This window comes from Homo sapiens, chromosome 22, assembly GCF_000001405.40.
Source record: "Homo sapiens chromosome 22, GRCh38.p14 Primary Assembly".
Lineage (NCBI taxonomy): Eukaryota > Metazoa > Chordata > Mammalia > Primates > Hominidae > Homo > Homo sapiens.
Window position 1 is genome coordinate 20,559,808 of NC_000022.11, and position 16,345 is coordinate 20,576,152.

Genomic DNA, 16,345 nt, shown 5'->3' on the forward strand with positions numbered 1-16,345 from the left:
ATCTTTTTTTATCCTTTTTCCAATAAGCCTTTTGCACTCTTAGATATATTCTTTTGTTTATCCTTTCCTCTTCCCTCTCAGGTGATACAAGGTAAAATGGGAAAAGAAACGTTGAGCATAGGTGATAGTAAATGTGTATAAATCTAAAGCAGTGATTCTCACCCAGGGTGACATTCCACCACAGGGGATATTTGACAATGTCTGGAGACATTTTGGGATGTCACTACTGTGGGGGTGCTGCTGGTGCGTAATGGGTGGAGACCAGAGGTGCTGCTAACCATCTTACAAATACAGGTCAGTCCCCCCAACAACATAGAATCATCTGGGTCAAGTGTCAGTAGTGAAAAGGTTGAAAATCGCTGGTGTAAATAAAAATTTACCTCTGTAAAATAAAACAGTCAGGCTAACCTCCATACAGACTTGCCACATTCCAAGCACTATTTCATTTCTTTTCTATTATTATTATTATTATTATTAAGATGGAATCTCGCTCTGTCAACAGGCTGGAGTGCAGTGGTGCAATGTCGGCCCACTGCAACCTCGACCTCCCAGGTTCAAGCGATTCTCCTGCCTCAGCCTCCCAAGTAGCTGGGACTACAGGCGCGCGCCACTACGCCCAGCTAATTTTTGTATCTTTAGTAGAGACGGGGTTTCACCATGTTGGCCAGGATGTTCTCGATCTCCAGACCTTGTGATCTGCCCTCCTTGGCCTCCCAAAGTGCTGGGATTACAGGCATGAGCCTCCGCGCCTGGCCTATTATTATTATTTATAGAGCTAGGGTCTCCTTATGTTGCCCAGGCTGGTCTTGAATTGCTGGGCTCAGGCGATCTGCTCTGCCTTGGCTATCCAAAGTGTGAGATTACGGGCATGAGCCACAGCACCCAACCCCAGGGACTATTTTGAGTGTTTTACTTACATAATAGATTATTTAATTCTTAGTCCAGTGTGTGGAGTAGGTACTATTATTGCATTTTCTAACAGGGAAAACTAAGGCAATGAGCAGTGACAGAGTTGAGGTTTTGAGTCCAGGCAGCCTAGCTTGGAGGCTGTATCCCTAGCCTCAAATCCATCCAGCCTCTTAATAGAATGTCTGCTGTGAAGAGTTAAAATAGATCAACAAAATATGAAATAAATGCAAGTCAGCAGGGAGATAGAGCGTGAATATCGGTTCTGTCGGGTACATATAAAACCTACTTTAAAAAGTAGTAAATTTGGGAAATGCTAAAATATTGATGAGGTTTATACTTTAAGTTAAATATGCATGATAAAATTGAAAAATTATTGCTAAAACAATGGAAATAATTCATAAAATTTAAGATCAATAGAAAAAATAGGATAAGGCAGAAATCCAGATAATACAAAGTTCAATCCAATCATCCAACAAAAATGCAATCAAAAAAGACAAAGAAGCTTAGAAAAGGAAAGACAAAGGCCGGGCGCGGTGGCTCAGGCCTGTAATCGCAGCACTTTGGGAGGCTCAGTCAGGCAGATCACGAGGTCAGGAGATTGAGGCGATCCTGGCCAACATGGTGAAACGCCGTCTCTCCTAAAAATACAAAAAGTTAGCTGGGCATGGTGGCGCATGCCTGTAATCCCAGCTACTTGGGAGGCTGAGGCAGGAGAATCGCTAGAACCCGGGAGGCGGAGGTTGCAGTGAACCGAGATCACGCCACTGCACTCCAGTCTGGCGACAGAGTGAGATTCCATCTCAAAAAAAAAAAGGAAAGGAAAGACAAATATTAATAGAAAATAAGTTTAAAAATATAAGTAATCATAATAAATGTGAGTGGACTAAACTTTTCTGCTGAAAGATAGGAAATGTGAGAACAAATGGAAATGAAACAGCACAGTTGTTTTATTGTTAGAAGAAACACACACCTACAATAAAACATGCGGAAGGATTTAAAAATAAAAGATGAAGAAAGGCCAAGTGCAGTGGCTCACGTCTGTAATCCCAGCACTTGGAGAAGCTGAGGTGGGAGGATCACTTGAGCCCAGGAGTTCAAGACCAACCTCGGCAAAATAGGAGACCCCCATCTCTACATAAAATTTAAAAATTACCTGTAGGTACACTTGAGATGCTGAGGTAAGAGGATCACTTGAGCCCAGGAGGTCAAGGCTGCAGTGAGCCATGATTGCACTATTGCATTCCAGCCTGGGCTGCAGTGAGACCCAATCTCAATCAATCAGTCAATAAAATTAGCTGAGTGTGGTGGTACACACCTGTAGTCCCATCTACTTGTGAGGCTGAGGTGAGAGGATCGCTTGCTTGAGCCTGGAACGCTGAGTCTGCAATGAGCCACGATGGAGACACTGCATTCCAGCCTGGGTGACAGAGCAAAATCCCGTCTCAAAAAAGAAACAAACAAAAAAAAGGATGAAGAAAGATGTATTGGGCAATTACTTCAATTACATCTCTTTGTTATTGATAAACAGACCAAAAAATTCATTTACAGAAAATTTGAACAATGTAATGAACAACTTAATTTAAGCATATGATGGAACAATATGTTTATAAAAATAAATCATAAAGCAAGCTTCAACAATTTCAGAAAATTTAAAAGTATTGTCATACTTTTTGTTGTTGTTGTTTTGAGACAGAGTCTCACTCTGTCACCCAGGCTGGAGTGCAGTGGCGCGATCTCGGCTCACTGCAACCTCTGCCTCCCGGGTTCAAGCAATTCTCCTGCCTCAGCCTCCTGAGTAGCTGGGATTACAGGCACGTGCCACCATGCCCGCTAATTTTTGTATTTTTAGTAGAGATGGGTTTTTGCCATGTTGGCCAAGCTGGTCTCAAACTCGACCTCAAGTGATCCTCCTGCCTGAGCCTCCCGAAGTGCTGGGATTAGAGGTGAGAACCACCGCGACCCGCCGGTCATACATGTTTTATGAATGTCAAATAAAGTTAGAAATCTGTCACAAAATAAATTAAAAATTTTTTACACTTGGCCAGGCACAGTGACCCACGCCTATAATCTCAACACTTTGTGAGGTCGAGGCAGGAGGATCACTTGAACCCAGGAGTTTGAGATCAGCCTGGGCAACAAAGTGAGACTGTCTCTATAAAAATTTTACAAATTAGTTGGGTGTGGTGGCATGCACCTGTAGTTCCAGCTACTCGGGAGGCTGAGGCAGGAGGGTCACTTAAGCCCAGGAGGTCAAGGGTGCAGTGAGCCACGATGGTACCACTTCAGTCCAGACTGGGCAACAGAGTGAGACCCCACCTCAAAAAAAAAAAATCTTACACCCATCAGAATTGCTAAAATGAATAGTGACAGCCTCAAGTGTTGGTGACAGAGAAACTGAATCACTCATATATTGCTGGTGAGAATGTAAAGTGGTTTTACCTTCTTTCAAAATGAAATATGCAACTCAGCAGTTACACTCTTGGGTATTTTTCCTAGAGAAATGAAAACCTCGCATAAAAACCCATGCACGAATTTTAACAGCAGCTTTATTTGTGGTAGCCCAAATCTACAGTTACCCAAATGTCCTTCATGTAGACGGTTAAACACACTGTGAGGTGCTTGTACCATGGAATACCCTGGCAGTACTGTTGCTAGAACTACAACCTGTATGCTGAATGTAAAAAGCCGATCCCAAAAAGGTTCATACTGTATGGTTCCATTTTTGAAATATTATGTATAATTTTGAAATGACAAAATTTTAGAAATGGAGGATGCTGCAGTGGTTGCCAGAGTTTGCGGGTCAGGGTTGCTGAGAGAGGTGGCAACACGAGGGATCCTTGTGGTGTGGGGACTGTGTAGTGTATTGACTGGTGGTGACTGAACCCACCCAGGTGGTTAAATTGTCCAGAACTTAGTACACACACCCACACAAGTGAGCACACATCGTGGTTGTGATACCTTGTAAGTTTGTAGAATGTTACCATTGGAGGAAACTGGGCAAAGTATACAAAGGATCTCTCTATATTTCTTTAATACAGCTTTATTGAGACATAATTCTCATTAGCATACAATTCACCCATCTGAAGTGCTCCACTCGGTAGGTTTTAGTGTAATCCACAGAGTTGTGCAGCCATCAGCACAATTTTAGAACATTTTTATGTTCACCCCAAAAGAAACCTCACCTCAGAAAATCTTGTAATTGACTGTTCATATAAGCAGTTTTCATAATAGCCACAAAGTAGAAGCAGCGCAAATGTTCATCACAGGAAATCGGTGTAGTAGAATATTATTTGGCGATAAAAATAACACAGAAAAACTGATAACATGCCACGACATGGGCGAACTCGTAAATATTATGCTAAAGAAGCTAGTCACAAAAGAGCACATGTTCGATGCCATTCGTACAAAGAGTCCGGAAGTGGCCAATCCATAGAGACAGAGAGGAGATTACTGATTGCCAGAGTCTAGGCTTCTTATTTATCCAAAAGACTTAGTTGTCCCTTTTCTTTTGTCTTTGGTTATTATAGAGTAACTCATGATAGGAAATCCCAAAATCAACACAAATGCTACTTCGTATTCTATCTTTCTGTCTGTGGTAAATGGAACGTTCAGATTCCAGCGGCAGCCGTGGCAGTGGGGCTTTTGCTGGCTGTTTTGTCCCTTGCTGTGCAGCCCTGCAGCGTTTCTGGGAATCTGCCCTGTGGACTGACTGGCGACTCTGGTCTTTTCTCAGCCCAGCTGCAGCTCCAGCAGGTGGCGCTGCAGCAGCAGCAGCAACAGCAGCAGTTCCAGCAGCAGCAGCAGGCGGCGCTACAGCAGCAGCAGCAGCAGCAGCAACAGCAGCAGTTCCAGGCTCAGCAGAGTGCCATGCAGCAGCAGTTCCAAGCAGTAGTGCAGCAGCAGCAGCAGCTCCAGCAGCAGCAGCAGCAGCAGCAGCATCTAATTAAATTGCATCATCAAAATCAGCAACAGGTACCAGGTCCCCTGTTCCTGCTCTTGGCCTCCCTCCTGCAGCGTGAGCCCTGGGCTGGCATCAGCCACAATGCTGGGTGCAGTGCCCGGAGCCAGCCGAGGGTTCTCTTGACACGTGTGCCTGCCCTTTTCCATGGGCTTCTCAAAAAGTCTGGGACAAGGCCGGGCCCAGTGGCTCATGCCTGTAATCCCAGCACTTTGGGAGGCCAAGGCAGGCGGATCATCAGGAGTTCAAGACCAGCCTGGCCAGCATGGTGAAACCCCATCTCTACTAAAAATACAAAAAATTAGCTGGACATGGTGGCGTACACCTATAATCCCAGCTATTTGAGAGGCTGAGGCAGGAGAATCGCTAGAACCTGGGAGGCGGAGGTTGCAGTGAGCCGAGATCGCGCCGCTGCGCTCCAGCCTGGGCAGCAGTGAGACTCCGTCTCAAAAAAAATAAAAATAAAAAAGGAAAACAAAAGTCTGGGACAGGCAGGAGAAACAGGCCCTGACTCACTAGGAAGGTTCTGTGATCGAGCCCTTCCATTTGGGCTTGGGCATCTGGCGGTGGGCCTCCTGTGTAGTTCAGGGGCTGCGAGGGATTCAAACAAGAGTGAGCTGAAGCAAGAAGTGAGACGAACACTCTGAGGCTTGGGACTACTTGAGCCATTGTGGGCCATTTTGGCTGAGGACACATGTGCCTCCTGTTTACCTCTGTGTCTTGGGTTCTGGGCTCAGTGTTAGTCGACCTCCAGCTGGTGTTGCATGAGGTGATGGTGATGTCATGTTAGCAGCACTGCTTCTCAGAAGTTGTTCAGCTTCCCATGGTTTCCATAGAGAGTCTAGACGTGTTAAACATCTGCCCTCACAGCAGGTCTTGGTTGGGAGAGGAAAGCCCCAAAGGGCCCCACCACCCTCCCACCCCTTCAGGCCTCAGCTAGCTGGGCTTCTCTGGATCTTGGCACCCCTCTCCCAGAGCTGACAGTGCATCTGCAGCCACACTTTTCCTTCTCCTGCTGACAAGCAGACCTTGACCGTCACCGTGAGGCTCATGCCACTGACCTATAGGGGCAAAGCAAGCATCGTTGCAGAGGCTTCAGAAATCTGCAGTTGCCCCAGCTTTTATCCTAGCTTCCATGGAGCTGTACCTATTCCTTGTCATCTTTTGCTGAAGTTTCTAGGTATGCCCTTTGAACCATCCTAGTGGAATGGTAGACCAGAGCCCAGGCACACACTTGGTGCCTCCCCGGTGTCAGGAAGGCAGCTGGTGTTGGCCTCGGGGGGCCCAGAGCCTTTCTGTGGGAGATGTGCCCCTCCCCGTGTGAGTGAGAGGTCAGCCTGTCAGCCCAGGAAGGCCTTTTTTTTTTTTTTTTTTTTGAGACTTTTTTTTGCCTCTTACTCTGTTGCCCAGGCTGGAGTGCAGTGGTGTGATCTCGGCTCACTGCAACCTCTGCCCCACCAGTTTAAGTGATTCTCCTGCCTCAGCCTCCCAAGTAGCTGGGATTACAGGTGTGAGCCACCATGCCTGGCTAATTTTTGTATTATTAGTAGAGACGGGGTTTCGCCAGGTTGTCCAGGCTGGTCTCGAACTCCTGACCTCAGGTGATCTGCCCGCCTCGGCCTCCCAAAGTGCTGGGATTACAGGCGTGAGCCACTGCACCCAGCCAGGAAGGCTTTCTTGATGGCTCTGCAGATGGCCACCTGGGCTTCCTGAGGCCCAGACTGTCACAGGGAGGAGCTGGTGCCACAGAGGCAGATGAGTGATAACCGAGTGCTGCTTGTTCTGTCTCTAGATACAGCAGCAGCAACAGCAGCTGCAGCGAATAGCACAGCTGCAGCTCCAACAACAGCAACAGCAGCAGCAGCAGCAGCAGCAGCAGCAGCAGCAGGCTTTGCAGGCCCAGCCACCAATTCAGCAGCCACCGATGCAGCAGCCACAGCCTCCGCCCTCCCAGGCTCTGCCCCAGCAGCTGCAGCAGATGCATCACACACAGCACCACCAGCCGCCACCACAGCCCCAGCAGCCTCCAGTTGCTCAGAACCAACCATCACAACTCCCGCCACAGTCGCAGACCCAGCCTTTGGTGTCACAGGCGCAAGCTCTCCCTGGACAAATGTTGTATACCCAACCACCACTGAAATTTGTGAGTACCTGTGGCCCACAGTGGAGCACATGCAGCCCGTGGCTCTGTCAGCAGTAGTTTCTAGGCTCTTTGGCTAGAGATAGCATATCCTATTCTTCAAGTGCTGAGACTTCAGGCAGCCCCCACCCCTTGCCAGCCCTGCCGACTCTAGCATGGCTCAGCAGGGAAGCATGTGTTTTGCATTTTGTGTTCTGAGAGCTGCTTCTGCACCCCGCACAGGGTACTGCTGCTGCTACTGGGGCACCAAGTCGCATTCCAAGCAGTGTGGCTGATTGCAGCAGTTCTGTGGGCCCTTTCAGGGTGTGAGCACTTCGACTGATGAGCACCACATGAAAGGATGTGCCAGCTCCGTCAGTGTCTGGTGGTTTGCCAACTACTCAGAGTTAATGTTCTAAGCAAATATCTTTTTTTTTCCTTTACACTCTGCCAAGTCTCAGGAGAACAAAGTTCATTACTATATTTTTGAGAGGAGTATTAATATAAAATACTGTTATTCCTAGTTTCATTTTGTATCTCTGCACAAAGCCAGTCTACTCAGTGACAGGCACAGAGGACAGAGTATGATCACCAGGATGAAGGTAGCTGCATCAAGGGGCCATTTGGACAACTCTTTGGCTCCCTTGGTTTTTGTGGCCTTTTCTGTTTGTGATTCATGAGTGGAATGGGGCCTGAGGCAAGTGTGGGGGTGAACAAGAGGCCTCATAGGCAGACTGGAAGTCTAGGAGAGTTGTGAGGAGCAGATATGCTCACTCATCTGTCACCTGGGAGTCGACACACTGCCTGACCCCGGGGACTGTGCAGACTGAAACCCTTGTGTGCTGCATGGTGGAATGTGCCCTGGCAGGGTTTGCCCTAGTGGCTTGGAGATGTCTAAGGAAGAGCCCGCTGCATGTTGGAATGTGCCCTGGCAGGGTTTGCCCTGGTGACTTGGAGATGTCTAAGGAAGAGCCCCCTGCATGGTGGCGCGGGCCTGTCTCGTCCTTCTGGAGGCCCCTCCATGCAGTGGCTCCACAGTTGCCCCTTTTGCCCAAGTTTGCCCCCCACCCCCACTTTTTTCTTTTGAAGACAGGGTCTCTGTTTTCCAGGCTGGAGTGCACTGATGTGATCAGACCTCCCTGCTCAAGCGATTCTCCCACCTCAGCCTCCCAAGTAGCTGGGGCTGCAGGTGTGCATCCCCACACCTAGCCAAATTTTTGTATATTTTGTAGATATGGGGTTTGGCCGTGTTGCCCAGGCTAGTCTTGATCTCCTGGGCTTAAGCGATCCACTGGCCTTGGCCTCCCAGAATGCTGAGAATACAGACAGGAGCTACTACGCCCTGCCCTCTGCTGGCCGGCTAACCCAGCTTTCCTTCAAGGAATCAGGCTGAGTGAAGCTCTTGTGGACCATCAGCATGCTTGGCCCAGAGGATGAGCAGGCTAGGCTGTAAGCTCTGCATTGGAAGTCGTCAGTGCTTGTGATAGCTGGTGCTGAGGGATGTGTGGAGACATCCCAGTGGGAGGGCCACATTGCCACTTGCCAGAATTGGATTTGAGCTAATGGGATCCTAGATGGCCAGTAAGGTGACATCACAGCACATGAGGTCATGAAAGTCCCATTCCTCACCTCAAGAAAGGCTCCATTTCCTAAGCTTCCACAGGAAGACTAGGCTCTGCTCTCTGACCCAGGTGGTTCCAAATCACATTCTCTCTTTCTCCCTCAAGGTCCGAGCTCCGATGGTGGTGCAGCAGCCCCCAGTGCAGCCCCAGGTGCAGCAGCAGCAGACAGCAGTACAGACAGCTCAGGCTGCCCAGATGGTGGCTCCCGGAGTCCAGGTGAGGGCCTGGGGGTGGAGGGCTCCATAGTCATCAGCAGGTGCATGTTCACCTGCGCATGTAGTGCTACAGTGAGGGTTCTGGTTGGATTAGGGGCTGGGGGCTAAGTTGGTAAAGCAGGGGCTTCTCTCCCCCTTGCACTCTGCAAGACACCCCTGGAGTCCTTGGGGTGGGCAGCTGTGCTTGGTCATGTCTAGGACCCACCAGCCGCATAGTGCGTGTCGTTTCCAGCTTTGCTCGGGCATCCTTCATTATCCCTCTTCCTTGCCACTCTGAGTGACTCTGGGAACATGTATCAGAGAGTAGAAGGCTGCAGTTTTCTCCTCACCTCTCATCTTCCATTTGAGAGTCTGAGTACAGAGCTGACCAGGGTGGAGGGCAGCTTTCTAGACACTCGGAAGCAGATGGGAGCCACATGCAGCAGGAGCGTGGGAGAAGGCATCCTGGTGCTCGCCTGCACTCAGGGACTCCGGCGCTGTGTGGTGAGAAGCGTGCCACTCCCACATTGCTGAGCTTGCTGGTGTGTCACATGTGTGGAATGTGTGTGTGTCTCTGTGTGTCACGTGTTAGTGGAATGCAGATGGCCTTGTCTGGCCTCCTAGTGTCCTGGGATTGGAGGCCCAGGGTTTCTGTACCTTTTCCTATAACCCCTCCTCTCCTTCTTGTGGGGAGACGTACAGTCTGGGGCTTCAGTTTTTCCTCTTTTCACATGATGGTGGAAACACTGTTGGTCCTGACTCGGAAGGGGCGTTGGCTTTAGAAAGAGTCAGAATGTGCTAGTTGATGTGGTAAGACTGTGGCTGGGTCCCAGCCCACAGCTGGCAGTGCGCCTGCACTTTGCTGTCGTCTTAAGGGTACCTGGCCTTGTGGTTTTCTGCAGGCCTGCTGGGCGCAGCGCCTGGGTGCACAGTGCCTCGTGGCAGGCTTCATCTCACGCTTGGGGGGTGCTCAGTAATGTCCTTCATGGTGCCTGCTACCTCTTTTAAGTCCCTGGGAAGCTGCCTGAGGAGGGAATCTGAGGTATTTGGCTGCAGCTGAGGTTAGCATCCTACCTTGGCAGGGCACCAAATGACTTGGGGCCAGGGTCCCCATGTCACATTCTTACTTAGATGGAGCCCTGTATGAAACACACCACAGAACTCACATTTACTTACAGCTGGGGGAGGCTGACCACTTCGTGTGATGAGGTTGGAGGTCTCTGCCACCTCCCTGTGTGTCTCGGCATGTCCTCAGGCCTCGTGGGGGGGCTCCCTTGTCCTGGTCTCATGCAGAGGAAGGACGTGGTGTGTTCAGAGTCAGCTTAGTGGTGGCACATAGTGACTGCCCACCCAGTGGAAGCTGCTACCTTTGCCTCTTTGGACCATCGATCCTCTGTTCAGGACCTCACTTCCTGGAAACTTTTTTTATTTTTTGAGATGGAGTCTTGCTCTGTTGCCAGGCTGGAGTACAGTGGCACGATCTTGGCTCACTGCAACCTCTGCCTCCTGGGTTCAAGTGATTCTCCTGCCTCAGGTTCCCGAGTAGCTGGAACTACAGGCGCGTGCCATCACACCTGGCTAATTTTTGTATTTTTAGTAGAGACATGGTTTCATCATGTTGGCCAGGATGGTCTCCATCTCTTGACCTCGTGATCTGCCGGCCTTGGCCTCCCAAAGTGCTGAGATTACAGGCATGAGCCAATGCGCCCGGCTGGAAACTTCTGTACCGCAGGTCAAGCCCAGCAGGAAAGTGAGAACTGCTCTTTTCTTTATTTCTTTCTGTCTTTTTTTTTTTTTTTTGAGACAGAGTCTGACTCTGTCATCCAGGCTGGATTGCAGTTTTGCGATCTCGGCTCACTGCAACTTCTGCCTCCTGGGTTCAGGCGATTCTTGTGCCTCAGCCTCCCAAGTAGCTGGGACTACAGTTGCACACCACCACACCTGGCTAATTTTTGTATTTTTAGTAGAGATAGGGTTTCACCATGTTGGCCAGGCTGGTTCGAACTCCTGACCTCAAGTGATTCACCCGCCTCAGCCTCCCAAAGTGCTGGGATTATAGGCATGAGCCATCGCACCCAGCCTAGAACTTCTCTTCTCTTCTCTTTTTTCTCTTTTCTTTTCTTTCTTTCTTTCTTTCTTTTTTTTTTTTTTTTTTTTTTTTTTTTTTGACAGAGTCTTGCTCTCTCACCTAGGCTAGAGTGGCTGGAGTGCAGTGGTGCAATCTTGGCTCACTGCAACCTCTGTCTCCCAGGTTCAAGTGATTGTCCTGCCTTTGCTCCCAAGTAGCTGGGACTACAGGCATGCGCCACTATATCCAGCTAATTTTTTTTTCCTCTTGTATTTTTAGTAGAGATGGGCCAGGCTGGTCTTAAGCTCCTGACTTCAAGTGATCCACCTGCCTCAGCCTCCCTAAGTGTTGGGATTACAGGCGTGAGCCACTGTGCCCAGCCGAACTTTCCTTTTCTTTCCATTTCTTGGTATTTGGAAAGTGAATAGCCATGGAGCAGCCAGTGTTTTCAGCTGGTGCAGGCCCAGCTGGTATGTTCGTTAGGCTTCTAGCTCAAGGAAGTGTCCACTCTGCAGTCTCACTGGCATCCCATCACCGTCCAGAAGCAGGATGCCAGCTGTGTGTGCTCATGGCCCATGCTGAGCCTGTCCTTGGGCCACTGGTCTTCCTGTCGGTTTCTCCACCCCTTGTTTCAGGTGGAGGTCCCCGCCCGACTGGCACAGGAAGGAGGATGGAGAGTGGTTACCACTGTGGTTCGTTGCTGAGTGAGTTTGATGTTTTAAGGATCATTGCCCACCTGCCCTGTGGCACCATGTGCTGCCATGCAGGGGATTCCCAAGTGCTAGTGGCAGAGGAGCCTTGTAGTTTCTCAAAGTCCAGCAGTGGGTAGGGCGTATCTATGAGGTGCTTCTCAGTCCAGATGTGGCACCTTGAAATTCTGTAACCCGCATTCTGCTGGTTTTCTCTCAGAGCTTGGTCTTGCCTTGTTGCAAGCAGTGCAGTTTCTTGGGGGCTAATTGGGCACCCTCACTGCCTTGTTCCACCAATAGCAGCGCCCCCTGCTGGGGGATGGGGAGGGTTGGGCACAGCAAGCCCTCTGAGGGGCCATCTGGATTCATGATCTTCTTTTGAAACTTGAATTGGCACAGTGACCAGCTGAGGCTACGGTACTCTGATCTAAAAACTTTAAAAGTATGTGTGGTAACTGTAGAACCCAGAAAGTGGAGAGGAACAGAAGTAAGAGAACCATTCCATGAGAGAGAAGGTCTGGTGTCCTTTCTGGTTGTTTCCCATAGTCAAGGTCATGCTATCCTGGGGTTTTTTGTGCAGCATCTTCCACATCAATAGGGGATGAAATGTTCTCCTTTAATTAGAAAGCCCTGGTCGGCACGAAGGAACTCTTGTCATACCCCTCTGTGAATGTCTCTTGCCATCCTCAGTTACCATCTTGTTCTTGGACCTTGTAATAATTTCCGATTTTTTGCTATTACCAGTGACACATATCTTGATGTCTTAGATTGTTCCTGGAGCTGATGGAGGTGAGTGAATGGTTCACTTTGAGGGCCTTCAGATCTGATCAGCCACCCTCTAACCAGGAGGTCAGAGATGCAGATTGGAGCTCCCCTTGTGTTGTTCACACAGTGGACATCAGGACGTGGTGACCACGTGTTGCAGCTTTGTATGTATGAGCTGCCGCGTGCTGCGGAAACAGGCCTCTTGAGTTCATGAATGAAATTCTGGGATTGGGGGCCCCCATGCAGGCAGCCCTCCATGCCCTGTCTCTCAAGCCCATCTTAGAGCCGAAGAGAGGCGCCCTGTCAGGCCCTTGCAGTACTGTGGTGTTGGATGTGGTAAAGGGTAGCCTGGGACTGAGTATTCTAGAAAAATTGCTCAGCCTTGTGCTGTGCACACCTGGTTCTCTTTCCAGTGTTATTTATGTAGCTGAGAAGGGCAATGTCACCCACAAGGGGATTTAGCAGGACACAGCAGACTTCTTTTTCTCCCCTATAAAACCAAGACATGCAGGCACAGTGGCTCATGCCTGTAATCCCAACGTTTTGGGAAGCCAAGGTGAGAGGATCACTTGAGACCAGGAGTTCAAAACTATCCTGGGCAACACAGCGAGACCCTGTCTCTACAAAAAAATAAAAATAAAAAGTTAGCTGGGCGGAGTGGTGCGTGTCTGCAGTCCCTGCTACTCGGGAGGCCGAGTTGGGAGGATCGTGCAAGCCCAGGGGTTTGAGGCTGCAGTGAGCTGTGATGACAGCATTACACTCTAGCCTGGGAGACAGAGCAAAACTCTTGTCTCTTTAAAAAAGCAAGAAACAGGACAGAATGCATCTCATTTTCTTTTTTTTTTTTTTTTTAAAGACAGAGTCTCTTGCTCTGTCACCCAGGCTGGAGTGCAATGGTACAGTCTCAGCTCACTGCAGTCTCCACCTCCTGGGTTCAAGGGATTCTCCTGCCTCAGCCTCCCAAGTACCTGGGATTACAGGCATGTGCCACCATGCCTGGCTAATTTTGTATTTTTAGTAGAGACGGGGTTTTGTCATGTTGGCCAGGCTGGTCTTGAACTCCTCGCCTTAAGAGATGTGCCCGCTTTGGCCTCCCAAAGTGCTGGAATTACAGGCGTAAGCCACTGTGCCTGGCCATGCATCTCATTTTCAAACAGTCCCTATACCTTTGTCATTTAACGTTCTATTCTTTTAGTATGTGAAAACCAAACTCTAATTTACAAGTCACAAAGAATTATCCAAGACAGACTCCCATTGTGGACATGTATGTGGCATTGCTGATTCACAGCTACTGTACTGAAGCCTTGGCCACCCTGGAGGACCCTCTCTCTTTTTGCTGGACCCTTCTGCACAGTGACTGCAGTAGGGAGAGTCAGACCTGGGGGTGGGGGAGAGGTTTTTTGGATTCCTCTCTGGGTAGATGTGTGTTGGGAAGTAGTGAAATGTTGATAGCTGCCTGGCTCATCTGATCCAGTAAACATAACTGGTGCGTTTGGGTTGAAAGAAATTGGGCTTTCCTTATCAGTTCTCAGTTATAAGAACATCAGTCAGCAGTACATTAGACTTAAGCTTTGCATTCCTTGCGTTTTTTTGTTTGTTTTTCTCTTCCTGGAAAAAAGTTTGCTTCTCTCATACCATCTGACTTACTTCCAGGCTTTTCTCCCTTGTGGAACGAGTGCCGTTGAGCCCTGCTGCACTCTCAGACGGGCTCCTCCGAAGTGCCGCAGGTGGTGGTAAATCGACTCTCACCCACTGGGGTCGCTCCTTCGTGTCTCCCCCCGGTCGGTTCATCTGTTGCTCTGGCTGCAGGAGGAACGAGTGAGCTTCTGGTCGGCGTCTGCCATGCCGTGTCACCCCGGCTTCTGGCACCTCCTGTGCGTGCCCAGGATTGTGAATGTGGGCCGTGTGTGTGAGGCCACGGGTCTCCCTGCAGCCACTCTCCTGCTGGAGCTCTGTTACTGGCACCTGTCGCTGCCTGCACCGAAGGCTGGCAGCACCTCCTGGAGCTTGGGACCCAGAGCACAGCCTCCCACCATGAGATGTGTTGTTTTTCTGTGGATCAGTCCTCCTTTCTTTCTGAGCCTGGCGTGTTTTGTTCTAGTTTGTTACCGTCCTAAGTGCCTGTAGGCCCTGCTCTCCAGGGACGAGACTCGGGCTCTACCCCCAACTCAGAACCCAGAGCAAGAGTGGTCGGGCCCGGGCCCACAACAGTGCTCAGCTGTCCTGCTGCCTTTGTAGTTCAAGAAGTGTCCATTGATGAGGGGAATGGTCCTGGCTCATGCTGGAGTTCCTGACTCGCATCCCTGTGGAGATGAACTTCCTCGTCAGGGCGGAGGCCTGCCAAGCAGTCCCCCCAGGCTTCTCTTGCTCACCTTTGCCCATTTTTATTACGAAAGAAAACCAGTTCCTTGATAGATACCAGGACCATCAGCCTCAGGCCTGGAGGAGGAGAGGAGGATGATTTGGGTTCGGGCTGTAAGAGGTGTGCCACTGAGAAGGAGGGATGCTGTGAGCAGGCTTAACTGAGCTCATGGTTCAGTGGGAGTTGAGTGTTCTCATCACAGGCTTTGGTGGAATGTACTCTTGACATCTGTCCCCAGGAGCCTGGTCTCCAGAAACACCAGCTCAGGCCCTCAAGGTCTGGCTCTGATGGTTCTGTGGGCTATAGGATTCTGATCTGTTAGCGAGGTGTGTTCAGAAGTGTGTTGAGGACACCAGTGCAGGAGAGCAACCAGTAGAACAGAAAGGTCTGGAAGCAGCATTCTTGGCAAATCTTCTAGATTCCCAATGCCCAGACAGACCTGGAGGTGCTGTGGGCTTGAACATGTGGGTGGCCTCCCCTCCCAGGCTGCCCCGAGCTGCCCAAGCTTTCCTTGCCCTGGTGCTCCTTCTTGCAGAGGCTACACGTGCCCTCTCCACCTGCCCAGGCACTGAGTTTCTTTGTTGCGATCACCTTGTCTGTTGTCCCTCTGTCCTCAAAGATGATCACGGAAGCCTTGGCCCAAGGTGGGATGCACATAAGAGCCCGGTTCCCGCCTACCACCGCTGTGTCCGCCATCCCGTCAAGCTCCATCCCTTTGGGCAGACAGCCCATGGCACAGGTATTTACGGGGCAGCGCCCAGGGCACGGCTGGGAGCTCGGGGCGTCCTCTGAGCGCCTTTGTAAAGCGCACCTGTCATTATCATCGCCGGTGACTTCTTTTATGGTGGCTTTCAGAGTGCCAAACCCACAGTCCCTTTTTTTTTTTTTTTAAATGAAGCCAAGCCCAGCTTGTGCTTGTTGAGAGGATATGAATAAATATCTGGGTCTTTTCAGCTTAAAATAGTTATACTGTACGCATTTTCATGGTAAAAATAAAACAGCAGCTAAGCAAAAGTTTTGCTTTCTAGAGCTGTGCTATCTAATAGTGTAGCCACTAAGCATGTGTGGCTGTTTACATTTAAATTGACTAAAATTAGGCCGGGCACAGGGGCTTATGGCTATAATCTCAACACCTCAGGAGGCCGAGATGGGAGGATCACTTGAGGCCAGGAGTTTGAGACCAGCCTGGTTCACATAGCGACATACTATCTCCAATTAATTATATACATTTTTTAATGGAAAATATATATATAAATGTATATATATTTTAAAAACAAAAAAAAAACCTAAAAGTCAACTAAAATTAAATAAAATGAAAAAATGCAGTTCTTCAGTCGCACCAAATAAATTTTAAGCCCTCATTTGCCCACAGGGAAGCTAGTGGCTGCTGCAGTGGACAGCACAGACTCCAGAACGTGGCCAATGTGGCCAAAGTGGTATTGGGCCATGCTGTTGTAGAGTTTGATGTGTAGAGTGTGTAATTTGTAACACAGATCCCCTTTCTAGGTAGAGGTAGACTTCTGTGTACATTATGCTTTTCAGAGACAGGAATTCCCGGCTTCTTTTATTGTATGAAATTTGGAATTACTCCATGGCATAGTCATTTTTTTAACAAATAGTTACCACATGCATTCTGTGTGCCAGGCACTATGCTAAGAT

General features: G+C 49.4%; 1 protein-coding gene across 18 annotated transcripts in view, besides 4 other annotated features; it reads left to right on the top strand.

Annotated features, from left to right (window-relative positions):
* MED15 (mediator complex subunit 15) overlaps positions 1-16,345 on the top strand; it is an 80,010-nt gene that overhangs the window by 52,198 nt on the left and 11,467 nt on the right. For 7 of the 18 annotated variants that reach the window (XM_047441395.1, XM_047441401.1, NM_001003891.3 and 4 more), the window contains 4 exons: positions 4,643-4,881; positions 6,660-7,010; positions 8,714-8,824; positions 15,306-15,425. In XM_047441395.1, the coding sequence (XP_047297351.1) occupies positions 4,643-4,881; positions 6,660-7,010; positions 8,714-8,824; positions 15,306-15,425 (821 nt within the window). Of the gene's footprint in view, positions 1-4,642; positions 4,882-6,659; positions 7,011-8,713; positions 8,825-9,173; positions 10,639-11,505; positions 11,575-12,303; positions 15,426-16,345 lie in introns of those variants that run through there. The other 11 variants (XM_047441398.1, NM_015889.5, NM_001293234.2 and 8 more) reach the window with 5 other exon arrangements.
* Positions 1,438-1,607: an enhancer, noted in NCBI's record as "experimental_62823 CRE fragment used in MPRA reporter constructs". NCBI's record gives its function as "activates a minimal promoter by MPRAs in K562 erythroleukemia cells, with activity observed for both the introgressed and non-introgressed 22:20915617 variant alleles {active_cell/tissue: K562}" and the evidence as "EXISTENCE:reporter gene assay evidence [ECO:0000049][PMID:34662402]".
* Positions 4,771-4,820: an enhancer, noted in NCBI's record as "active region_18682". NCBI's record gives its function as "activates an Ori minimal core promoter by ATAC-STARR-seq in GM12878 lymphoblastoid cells {active_cell/tissue: GM12878}" and the evidence as "EXISTENCE:reporter gene assay evidence [ECO:0000049][PMID:35858748]".
* Positions 11,581-11,750: an enhancer, noted in NCBI's record as "experimental_62834 CRE fragment used in MPRA reporter constructs". NCBI's record gives its function as "activates a minimal promoter by MPRAs in K562 erythroleukemia cells, with activity observed for both the introgressed and non-introgressed 22:20925760 variant alleles {active_cell/tissue: K562}" and the evidence as "EXISTENCE:reporter gene assay evidence [ECO:0000049][PMID:34662402]".
* Positions 12,634-12,803: an enhancer, noted in NCBI's record as "experimental_62844 CRE fragment used in MPRA reporter constructs". NCBI's record gives its function as "activates a minimal promoter by MPRAs in K562 erythroleukemia cells, with activity observed for both the introgressed and non-introgressed 22:20926813 variant alleles {active_cell/tissue: K562}" and the evidence as "EXISTENCE:reporter gene assay evidence [ECO:0000049][PMID:34662402]".